General features: G+C 42.6%; 1 protein-coding gene across 10 annotated transcripts in view; it reads right to left on the bottom strand.

Annotated features, from left to right (window-relative positions):
• PDGFRA (platelet derived growth factor receptor alpha) overlaps positions 1-12,073 on the bottom strand; it is a 68,953-nt gene that overhangs the window by 50,876 nt on the left and 6,004 nt on the right. For 2 of the 10 annotated variants that reach the window (NM_001347828.2, XM_006714041.4), the window contains exon 2: positions 7,255-7,332. The exons of the other annotated variants lie outside the window; for them this stretch is intronic. In NM_001347828.2, coding sequence (NP_001334757.1) covers positions 7,255-7,317 — 63 coding nt within the window. In that variant the 5' untranslated portion in view covers positions 7,318-7,332. The remainder of the gene's footprint in view (positions 1-7,254; positions 7,333-12,073) is intronic. 10 annotated transcript variants of the gene reach the window in all.

Below are 12,073 nucleotides of genomic sequence, written 5' to 3'. Positions count from 1 at the left end.
GTGGATAAGCTTTTTGATGTGCTGCTGGATTCTGTTTGCCAGTATTTTATTGAGGATTTTTGCATCAATGTTCACCAAGGATATTGGTCTAAAATTCTCTTTTTTGGTTGTGTCTCTGCCTGGCTTTGGTATCAGGATGATGCTGCCCTCATAAAATGAGTTAGGGAGGATTCCCTCTTTTTCTATTGATTGGAATAGTTTCAGAAGGAATGGTACCAGTTCCTCCTTGTACCTCTGGTAGAATTCGGCTGTGAATCCATCTGGTCCTGGACTCTTTTTGGTTGGTAAGCTACTGATTATTGCCACAATTTCAGAGCCTGTTATTGGTCTATTCAGAGAATCAACTTCTTCCTGGTTTAGTCTTGGGAGGGTGTATGTGTCGAGGAATTTATCCACTTCTTCTAGATTTTCTAGTTTATTTGCATAGAGGTGTTTGTGGTATTCTCTGATGGTAGTTTGCATTTCTGTGGGATCGGTGGTGATATCCCCTTTATCATTTTTTTTTTTGCGTCTATTTGATTCTTCTCTCTTTTCTTCTTTATTAGTCTTGCTAGCAGTCTATCAATTTTGTTGATCCTTTCAAAAAACCAGCTCCTGGATTCATTAATTTTTTGAAGGGTTTTTTGTGTCTCTATTTCCTTCAGTTCTGCTCTGATTTTAGTTATTTCTTGCCTTCTGCTAGCTTTTGAATGTGTTTGCTCTTGCTTTTCTAGTTCTTTTAATTGTGATGTTAGGGTGACAATTTTGGATCTTTCCTGCTTTCTCTTGTGGGCATTTAGTGCTATAAATTTCCCTCTACACACTGCTTTGAATGTGTCCCAGAGATTCTGGTATGTTGTGTCTTTGTTCTCGTCGGTTCAAAGAACATCTTTATTTCTGCCTTCATTTCGTTATGTACCCAGTAGTCATTCAGGAGCAGGTTGTTCAGTTTCCATGTAGTTGAGCAGTTTTCAGTGAGTTTCTTAATCCTGAGTTCTGGTTTGATTGCACTGTGGTCTGAGAGACAGTTTGTTATAATTTCTGTTCTTTTACATTTGCTGAGGAGTGCTTTACTTCCAACTATGTGGTCAATTTTGGGATAGGTGTGGTGTGGTGCTGAAAAACATGTATATTCTGTTGATTTGGGGTGGAGAGTTCTGTAGATGTCTATTAGGTCCGCTTGGTGCAGAGCTGAGTTCAATTCCTGGCTATCTTTGTTAACTTTTTGTCTCGTTGATCTGTCTAATATTGACAGTGGGGTGTTAAAGTCTCCAATTATTATTGTGTGGGAGTCTAAGTCTCTTTGTAGGTCACTCAGGACTTGCTTTATGAATCTGGGTGCTCCTGTATTGTTGGGTGCATATATATTTAGGATAGTTAGCTCTTCCTGTTGAATTGATCCCTTTACCATTATGTAATGGCCTTCTTTGTCTCTTTTGATCTTTGTTGGTTTAAAGTCTGTTTTATCAGAGACTAGGATTGCAACCCCTGCCTTTTTTTGTTTTCCATTTGCTTGGTAGATCTTCCTCCATCCTTTTATTTTGAGCCTATGTGTGTCTCTGCACGTGAGATGGGTTTCCTGAATACAGCACACTGATGGGTCTTGACTCTTTATCCAATTTGCCAGTCTGTGTCTTTTGATTGAAGCATTTAGTCCATTTACATTTAAAGTTAATATTGTTATGTGTGAATTTGATCCTGTCATTATGATGTTAGCTGGTTATTTTGCTCGTTAGTTGATGCAGTTTCTTCCTAGCCTCAATGGTCTTTACAATTTGGCATGATTTTGCAGTGGCTGGTACCGGTTGTTCCTTTCCATGTTTAGTGCTTCCTTCAGGAGCTCTTTTAGGGCAGGCCTGGTGGTGACAGAATCTCTCAGCATTTGCTTGTCTGTAAAGTATTTTATTTCTCCTTCACTTATGAAGCTTAGTTTGGCTGGATATGAAATTCTGGGTTGAAAATTCTTTTCTTTAAGAATGTTGAATATTGGCCCCCACTCTCTTCTGGCTTGTAGAGTTTCTGCTGAGAGATCCACTGTTAGTCTGATGGGCTTCCCTTTGTGGGTAACCTGACCTTACTCTCTGGCTGCCCTTAACATTTTTTCCTTCAACTTTGGTGAATCTGACAATTATGTGTCTTGGAGTTGCTCTTCTCGAGGAGTATCTTTGTGGCGTTCTCTGTATTTCCTGAATCTGAATGTTGGCCTGCCTTGCTAGATTGGGGAGGTTCTCCTGGATAATATCCTGCAGAGTGTTTTCCAACTTGGTTCCATTCTCCCCGTCACTTTCAGGTACACCAATCAGACGTAGATTTGGTCTTTTCACATAGTCCCATATTTCTTGGAGGCTTTGTTCGTTTCTTTTTATTCTTTTTTCTTTAAACTTCCCTTCTCATTTCATTTCATTCATTTCATCTTCCATCACTGATACCCTTTCTTCCAGTTGATCGCATCAGCTCCTAAGGCTTCTGCATTCTTCATGTAGTTCTTGAGCCTTGGCTTTCAGCTCCATCTGCTCCTTTAAGCACTTCTCTGTATTGGTTATTCTAGTTATAGATTCGTCTAAAGTTTTTTCAAAGTTTTCAACTTCTTTGCCTTTGGTTTGAATTTCCTCCTGTAGCTCGGAGTAGTTTGATCGTCTGAAGCCTTCTTCTCTCAACTCGTCAAAGTCATTCTCCGTCCAGCTTTGTTCCATTGCTGGTGAGGAGCTGCGTTCCTCTGGAGGAGGAGAGGCGCTCTGCTTTTCAGAGTTTCCAGTTTTTCTGCTCTGTTTTTTCCCCATCTTTGTGGTTTTATCTACTTTCGGTCTTTGATGATGGTGATGTACAGATGGGTTTTTGGTGTGGATGTCCTTTCTGTTTGTTAGTTTTCCTTCTAACAGACAGGATCCTCAGCTGCAGGTCTGTTGGAGTTTGCTAAAGGTCCACTCCAGACCCTGTTTGCCTGGGTACCAGCAGCAGTGGCGGCAGAACAGCAGATTTTCGTGAACCGCAAATGCTGCTGTCTGATCATTCCTCTGGAAGTTTTGTCTCAGAGGAGTACCCGGCTGTGTGAGGTGTCAGTCTGCCCCTACTAGGGGGTGCCTCCCAGTTAGGCTGCTCAGGGGTCAGGGGTCAGGGACCCACTTGAGGAGGCAGTCTGCCCGTTCTCAGATCTCCAGCTGTGTGCTGGGAGAATCACTGCTCTCTTCAAAGCTGTCAGACAGGGACATTTAAGTCTGCAGAGGTTACTGCTGTCTTTTTGTTTGTCTGTGCCCTACCCCCAGAGATGGAGCCTACAGAGGCAGGCAGGCCTCCTTGAGCTGTGGTGGGCTCCACCCTGTTCGAGCTTCCCAGCCGCTTTGTTTACCTAAGCAAGCCTGGGCAATGGTGGGCACCCCTCCCCCAGCCTCGCTGCTGCCTTGCAGTTTGATCTCAGGCTGCTGTGCTAGCAATCAGCGAGACTCTGTGGGCGTAGGACCCTCTGAGCCATGTGCGGGATATAATCTCCTGGTGTGCCTTTTTTTAAGCCCGTCGGAAAAGCGCAGTATTGGGGTGGGAGTGACCCGATTTTCCAGGTGCCGTCTGTCACCCCTTTCTTTGACTAGGAAAGGGAACTCCCTGACTCCTTGCACTTTCCGAGTGAGGCAATGGCTTGCCCTGCTTCGGTTCGCGCACGGTGCGCTGCACCCACTGTCCTGCGCCCACTGTCTGGCACTCCCTAGTGATAGGAACCTGATACCTCAGATGGAAATGCAGAAATCACCCATCTTCTGCATCGCTGATGCTGGGAGCTGTAGACCGGAGCTGTTCCTATTCAGCCATCTTGGCTCCAACCTCCTCCTTTAACTTTAGCCAATGTTTACACACAGAATTTCTTTTAAAATGTTAATCTTTCATATACCTTCCACAACTTGCTCATGCTTCAGCTTTCTCCTATCAAACTTAAAACAATCCTTTAACCCATTAAAGTAAGCAAAATAAAAAACTATACTGGCACACCTTCCTATAATCTTTTACCAAAAACACATTTTGCTTTCCTTACATATCTTGTAGGTAAAACTTTCTCCAGTAATCTCAATTACATATGCTATAATGTTAACTCTTAGCAACATTTCATTTTGATTAAAAACCTGATAAGTAAGTGATCTTAATTATGTAGCAGGTGTTGAGCCTAGGACATCAGGCAGAAGTGCATAGAAGTGCACTATGCGATCAGACAGTGCAATGCTTTCACCAAGCATTTCACTGCAACGATGTTCCCCAAAGGCTGGTGGCCAACCTAAAGCAAATCAGCCCATCCTCCATTCATAGGTGGATGCCCAAGAGCATGCTTTTTTTTCATTTAAATGTGAGAAGAAAGAAGTATTGGTCTGTAGTAATAACCACTCATGTAAGCAACTGCAATCCCTAAAAGTACACATCCTACCTAGGTAATACACACCAATGCTAAAGGTTCCCTCATAATGCAAAGTAATTTCTGATGCCCCCAAAAGTCACAAAGGTCAGGTAATGTGACGTAAACAGAGCAGAGCCTTGGATTCTGAGGGAGAACTCTCTGCTTACAGCTCTTGGGGTTCCATGAGGAAAACAGAGGTTTCTCCCAAAACGAGGTCTGTGGCACCTTCTGTTTCCTCCCAAGGAGTCCCAGGCTGTCAGAAATTATCTTAGGTCCTCTAATATGGTCATTAAAGGGGGTAAAAAGACAGAATGGAGAAATAATTCAGTCCACTGAGAAGAAAAACAAACAACAAACACACAAAACACTTTCTCTCAAAAAAATAAGTTCCAAGAAGAAAAAAATCATACAGGTCTTTTAAATATATATATATACACACATACATACATATATATGTGTGTGTATATATATATAAATATGACTATGGAATATCCATTTTTAATTAAGCTGACTTATAACTATAGAGGTCCTTTAAAAAATCCTTTTAAATCCCTTAATACCAGACTCTAGCCAGGACAAATAGCCAACATCTCTGGCTTTTAAGCCTTTTTTTAAAGGTATTTTCCCTAGTGAAACCAACAGGCCTTAACCAAGGTTATAACTTAACCATGGACACAAGAGGTATCTCCAAAGAGATGGCAAGCAATTTTTACAAGATCCAACATTACCCTTAAGGTAGCTCACAGAAAAAAAAATTCAAGTGAGAAAATCAGAAGCTGTCGATGGAGACAAAAAGAATAAATAAATGACAAAAGTCCCAGAAGTAGCAAACTGGAAACCTCTCATTCTCTAAGCCAGGAACTGAACCCAGGCCACCACCATGAAAGAACAAAGGCTTAGCTATTGAGCCACAGCCTGAAACAACCACTGTATTGCTTTTCCTAAAAGGAGTCTAGGGAAGTCAGTTTTGAACTTGCAAAGGCTATACCTTTTCAAGGGAAAAGGAAAAGATATAAATCTGAGAGGCCTTCAAAGGAAACAGATTCTAGAATTAAAAGTCAATATTTCTTGCAATCTTACTGAAAGCAAACCAATACTTGAAGAAAAACTTGTTTTAACATAGGGCACCAAAATTTAGATAGAGTATTATATATAAATTTCCTGGCTGGGTGCATGAGGTGGCTCATGCCTGTAATCCCAGCACCTTGGGAGGCCAAGGTGGGTGGATCAACTGAGGTCAGGAGTTTGAGACCAGCCTGACAAACATGATGAAACCCCATCTCTACTAAAAATACAAAATTAGCCAGGTGTGGTGGTGCATGCCTGTAATCCTAGCTACTCAGGAGGCTGAGACAGGAGAAATGCCTGAACCCAGGATGCGGAGGCTGCAGTGAACCAAGATCATGACATTGCACTCCAGCCTGGGCAACAAGAGCAAAACTCCTTCTCAAAATAAATCATAAATAAATAAATAAATAAATAAATAAATAAATAAATAAATTTCCTTTCAGTTATGGCTAATTACATCTAAATTTTAATAAATTCTCTTGTATAAACTTTATCGTGACTTACATAGGTCATCTACAACATGCTTGGACTTTCTGACTTGTCCTATATTTCCTTCTTTTCTAAACAATCAGTCATTCTACCTTAGGACAAGAATTTATCATATAAGATCCTTTCTCATAAAATTTCTTTATAACATTCCTTACCAAAAATACGTCTTCATATTCATAACTTTCCTCACATCTCTCTCCACTGCTTATTGTTTTTTATTTCTTTCTACTTGTTTTTATTTTCTTTCGAAATTCATATTTTAAACCCCACATATAAATGACATCTGAATTGGCCAAAAAGAATTTATTTTCACTAAGAGCATATCTTCTTTGGCACATTTATACAGAGTTATATATGAATTTTTAGTAACTCTAAATTTTAGTAAACTTAAGTTACATGAGCTTGAGAAATGCTTGGACTTATTTACTCTTTTTATGAGCACTCTTTTATTTATAAGCCAATTTGGTACCCTGTAGATACAATATATAACATAATAAATGTACATACACATAAACACATCTAGACATTTATACACACACATAAACAAAGATCCAATAGCTTTTATCTTTGAGCTCTAGCCATAATGTAGGAACGCAAACGCACTATTTTATAAAAGATAGCTGGACCCAAATTATTTCCCTGACAAAACTGGGACTTATCCAAATGGCCAAACTTAGTTTGCTAATTTGAATTTGCTCCAATTGCCTAAAAGGCACCCTAGTGACGAGTTCTCTGGGACTCACCACTGTCCCTTTGTCTAACAAGGATCTCTACTAGACACAGAAGTTTTTCTAAGTATAGGGAGAGCCCAATTATTTTCCCCTGCAAATTCCCACCTCCTGGAGCAAAGCATTAAACAAAGTGACAATAAGAAAAGAAAATGTTTTTATAGAAAATGATAACTTTAGAGTAGAAAACAAGAAAAGGCAAAACCAAGATTTCCCCTGGGTGGGACTCTAACCCACAATGCTAGAGGGGAATGTCAGTGCCAAACACCCTGGAGCATCCAAATGCCGAAAAGCCCAGAGTATCAGCTAACAAGGGTCCCCACACCAAATGCCAAAAACCCCAGAGCATCTGGGGGGTGGCCAATAGTGAAACCCAAAAGCATGAGACCTAACATAATTGGAGCTACAGAACAATGACCCTGGTGTCCCAGGGTCAACACAACGGGAGAACTCTCAAAACCAAGTGTCTTGCCTTAAACAGTTGCCAAATAGCCAAGGCAAAGACTACAAACATGAAATAAGAATTTCAGCCTGAAGAGCAGAGAAGTCAAACAGCCAGTCATTAAAAACTAAAGAGAGGCCAGGTGCAGTGGCTCACACCTATAATCCCAGTACCTTGGGAAGCTGAGGCAGGCAGATCATTTGAGCCCAGGAGTTCAAGACCAGTCTAGGCAGCATGGCAAAACCCCGTCTCTACAAAAAAAATACAAAATTTAGCCAGGCGTGGTGGTGCATGCCTATAGTCCCAGCTACTCAGGAGGCTGAGGTGGAAGGATCACTTGAGCCAGTGAGGTCCAGGCTTCAGTGAGCCATGATTATGCCACTGCACTCCAGCCTGGGCAACACAGCGAGATGCTATCTCTAAAAATAAATAAATAAATAAATAATTTAAAATTTTTTTTAAAAAAGAAACTAAAGAGAAAAGGTCCCAGAGAAGGGATGACAAGGTGGGTTGCAAAAGATGTGGCCAGCCAGGCGTGCTCCCATCTGGGGCACCCAGACAACAGGAGGCTGCTATCAGGCTGCTAAGCCAGAGGCCTCACAGCCACTTTCCCATCTGTCCAAAATGAAGAACATTAGGAAGGACAAAGGAGCCAAAATTGAAGAGAAAAAAATGTTAGCAAGTTGAATCTGGGCAAGGAGAGACTCACCCACCGGTGAAGCCCAAACAGTGCCAATCAGTTTTAATTTAAAGTCAACGGGAGGTTACCATTGTCCCTTCATTGGTCACCAGAAAAGATGTCATAGGGTGGAACTCAAAATTGGGGTTCAGCCTGGGAGGTCACAAAGGTTCTTGGCTTCATGCAGGAAGGAATTCAAGAGCAAGCCAAAAGAGTAAAATGACAGCAAATATATTAAGAAAGTAAAAGAATAAAAGAGTGGCTACTCCATGGGCACAGCAACTGCATGGCTGCTTGAGTGAGTATACCTATAGTTATTTCTTGATTATACGCTCAACAAGCGGTAGAAGATTCATGAGTTTTCCCTGAAAGGGACAGGTAATTCCCAGGACTGAGGGTTCCTCCCCTTTTTAGACCATATAGAGTATCTCTGGTCATTGCTATGGCATTTGTAAACTGCCATGGCACTGGTGGGAGTGTCTTTTAACATGCTAATGCATTATAATTAGTGTGTAATAAGCAGTAGGGATGACCAGAGGTCACTTTCATCACCATCTTCGTTTTGGTGGGTTTTGGCCAGCTTCTTCACTGCATTCTGGTTTTGCTGGCTTATTTATTTATTTATTTATCTATTTTTGAGACAGGGTCTTATTCCATCACCCAGGCTGGAGTGCAGTGGCCTGATCTCAGCTCACCGCAGCCTCCATCCTCCCATCTCAGCCTGCCACCCAACTGCCCCTCAGACCAGTAGCTGGGACTATAGGCCTGCACCATCATGCCCAGCTCATGTTTTTAAAATTATTGTTTGTAGAGACAAGGTCTCACTATGTTGTCCAGGCTCATCTTGAAATCCTGGGCTCAAGCAATCTTCCTGCCTTGGCCTCCCAAAGTACTATGATTACAGGAATGAGCCACCAAACCTGGCCTGCAACCTGTTTTATCACTGGGGTCTTTATGACCTGTATCTATCAACTCCTATACCAACTCCTTTCTCTCCTGTGACTACAAATGTGTAACCTCCTGGGAATGCAGCCCAGCAGGTCTCATCCTCTTCTTACCTAGGCCCTATTCAAGATGAAGTCACTCTGGTATGAACTCCTCTGATGCTAACTCATACAATGGAGTGAGCCTAATGGGACACAATTTGTTCCATCATTGGCTTTGGAAGCTAAAATATGTGTGCATGTGATTCCTGAGTAAACTGGTTTAAAAAAAAGAAAGAGTGAGAGAGAAATTCAATGTATTCATATATTGCTGTGTTTAGCCCTAGTTGGGTTTGGTTTGGTTGGAGGGGATCCAGGATCCAGAAGATAATAGCCTAATCAAAGTTTTTGGTGGGGCCTAATCATGTATTTCTACCGTAAGGTGGCCTACTTTGCAGAAATCAGATTTCTGTTTTATTGAATGCTACCAGGAAAATGGGAGAGGAAGAGAACACAGAGAAAAAGGTGGAAGGCTCCTCACAGGAAGGGGAGTGGGGTATGTAGAAAACAAAGTAAGAGAAGGAGAAACCATTATTTACTAAGCCAAAGTTTGCATGTGCATGCTGTGTTTGTGAAGAATAACCCTGTGATTACTTAGAGCTGATTTTAAGAAGTGGCAGTTGAGGCTCAGAGAGGTTTTGCAAATGACCCAAAGTCACACAGCCAGTGACAGAGCCAGGATTTGAACACAAGGTCGTGTGATACAAACGCCATGCCCTCTCCACTTCACCATATGGTCTCTCTCAAGGGAAGGTCAGTGTTTTAGCCATATCCCACCCCTGTGTGCCACCTACTTGCCTGACTATTTCCTAGGGCAAATTATACCTCCTCCTTCCATTTTCCTCCTTTGCTCACCACAGCAGGAGAAACACAATTACAGTGCTGTGAACCCAAATGCAATTCACACAATGCTGGCTGGCTGATGGCCTCCGAGGATCCTGACATGTGCCTGGGATGCAAGGCTTCCACACTGCTGCGGTGGCAGGCACAGTGGGCCCCAGAGCCAGGCTGGCCAGCCTGATTTACCACAATTAGCAGTAATGCTTGTGTGTTTGTACATATAAATATCAGCCTCCCACTGACAATCCACTCAGCAAACTTCAAACAAGGCCTCCAGAGCCAGCTTGATGTCTTTGGTTTTATCACATTTAGAACCCATATTTCTTTGGCAAGACTTGCCAAAGATGCATCTTTAAAGCTTTCTCCAGCTTAAAAGAAGGGCTCACTGCTTTTCCTGTGCAAGCTCTAAGCAGTGCTTTGCCCTGGCCAGACACTCCCAGATTTCCTTCAGTGCCTCCAGATACAGTGGACCCTCTGCCAGGAAAGATTATTTACTGACATATAAAGTGGCCAATGAGGCCGGGCGTGGTGGCTCACATCTGTAATCCCAACACTTTGGAAGGCTGAGGTGGGCAGATCACTTGAGGTCAGGAGTTCAAGACCATCCTGGCCGACATGATGAAACCCCATCTCTACTAAAAATACAAAAAATTAGCCAGGCATGGCGGCAGGTACCTATAATCCCAGCTACTCGGGAGGCTGAGGCAGGAGAATGGCTTCAACCCAGTAGGCAGAGGTTGCAGTGAGCCAGGATCTCGCCACTGCACTCCAGCCTGGGTGACAGAGCAAGATTCTGTCTCAAAAAAAAAGTGGGCAATGGAAACAGGTCCTCTGAGCAAGCCATCAGGAAGGAAGAGAATAAACATGTGTTTGTTGCTTAAGATTCCAAACCCCAATCTCTGATAACAGTGGTTCCCTGGGTAGAAATCAGGCCTGTTTGTGAACTTTCTTTTTTTCTTTTTTCTTTCTTTCTTTTTCTTTTTTTAGATGGAGTCTTGCACTGCCGCCTGGGCTGGAGTGCAGTGGCATGATCTCAGCTCATTGCAACCTCTGCCTCCCAAGTTCAAGCGATTCTCCTGTCTCAGCCTCCCGAGTAGCTGGTATTACAGGTGCCCACCATCATGGCCAGCTAATTTCTTGTATTTTTAGTACAGACAGGGTTTCACCATGTTGGTCAGGCTGATCTCGAACTCCTGACCTCGTGATTCACCCACGTCGGCTTCCCAAAGTGCTGGGATTACAGGCGTGAGCCACTGTGCTCAGCGTGTTTGTGAAGTTTCATGTCATTACTTATCTATAACTCAGACAGTTTACTCATGAATAATGGCAGTGCTTGCCCCACAGGGAGGTAATGAAGAAAAATGGGAAACATGGGGAATTTCCTCACCTATTAGACCTGTAGTGAGGCTCTCTGGGAGTGAGTCTTGCTGTTCCTGCCACTTTTATCTACTCTAAATGCTCATCCTTAATTAGTAACTGCTATTCTGGAGCTCATCTAAAGTCAGGTGTGCAAATATAAGTAACTGAAACTACAAATTCTGAGAAACATGGCACCATAAGAATCCGTGAGAACAACCCCCTTTGCAGGGAAGAACACTAGATTTCACCCAAATCTTTTCTTCAATCATAATTACTTCCCTCATGCCAACTACATGTTGAACTTCAGCCCCCATTCTCAATAATCACAGCTCAAAAAACATTTGCCATAACTTAGAGGAACAAACTGAGAAAGAGACCCCCCGCCCTGTTGACTCTCAGGCAGGTGACTTGTGCTTTTCCACCATCCTCTTGGCCTTCTTATGCTTTCTCTCAGAAGAAAGGATGGAAATCACATTGGACTAGCCACTGATCCCAAATCTGATACTCTATCCAACTCTCTGAACCTCAGTCTTTTCTTCTAGGAAGCACGACTACCAAGGCCTGACTGGTTGCTTGCCCTGTGGCATTCTTGTAAGGACTAAATTATATAGTTTAATTGAAAGTGCTTTGATTTTCACGACTTTTTCTGCAGACTCCCAAGATATTTTAGATCGGCTCCTTCAACTTCTCCTTAACTAAGAAAGTGAGGGATGCCCCAGAAGCCACATGACTTGCCCTGCACCTCCTACCTCCTGGAGACATGGATCTGAACTCTGATTCAGCCCACACCAGCAGTCCACTCCCATGACCCTGTTACCTCCAGCCTGGTGTGGCTATAAAGACCATTCAAAGATGAGCCAATATATACAGTCACAGAAACAGAGAAACAAATGACTTTGCAGCTACTATCCTTTCTCTTTAACAGGGTGCCATCTCCTGCCCTGCAAACAGAAGTAAAGAGCCATTGGACATGACTCTATAACCAAAGGCAATGTGCAAAGGTAGTGTAAACAGACAGTAGGCAATGCAAGGCTCTATTTCCAGAAGGACTAACAGCAAGACATTCTTCTCCTAAAGCCAGAGAGTTGGCTTCTCAATCACCAATTGCACAGTGCATCCCATTGCAGAACC

Source organism: Homo sapiens, chromosome 4 (genome assembly GCF_000001405.40).
Source record: "Homo sapiens chromosome 4, GRCh38.p14 Primary Assembly".
Lineage (NCBI taxonomy): Eukaryota > Metazoa > Chordata > Mammalia > Primates > Hominidae > Homo > Homo sapiens.
Note: the sequence above shows the minus strand (reverse complement) of the source record. Positions and strands in the feature narration are given on the sequence as shown.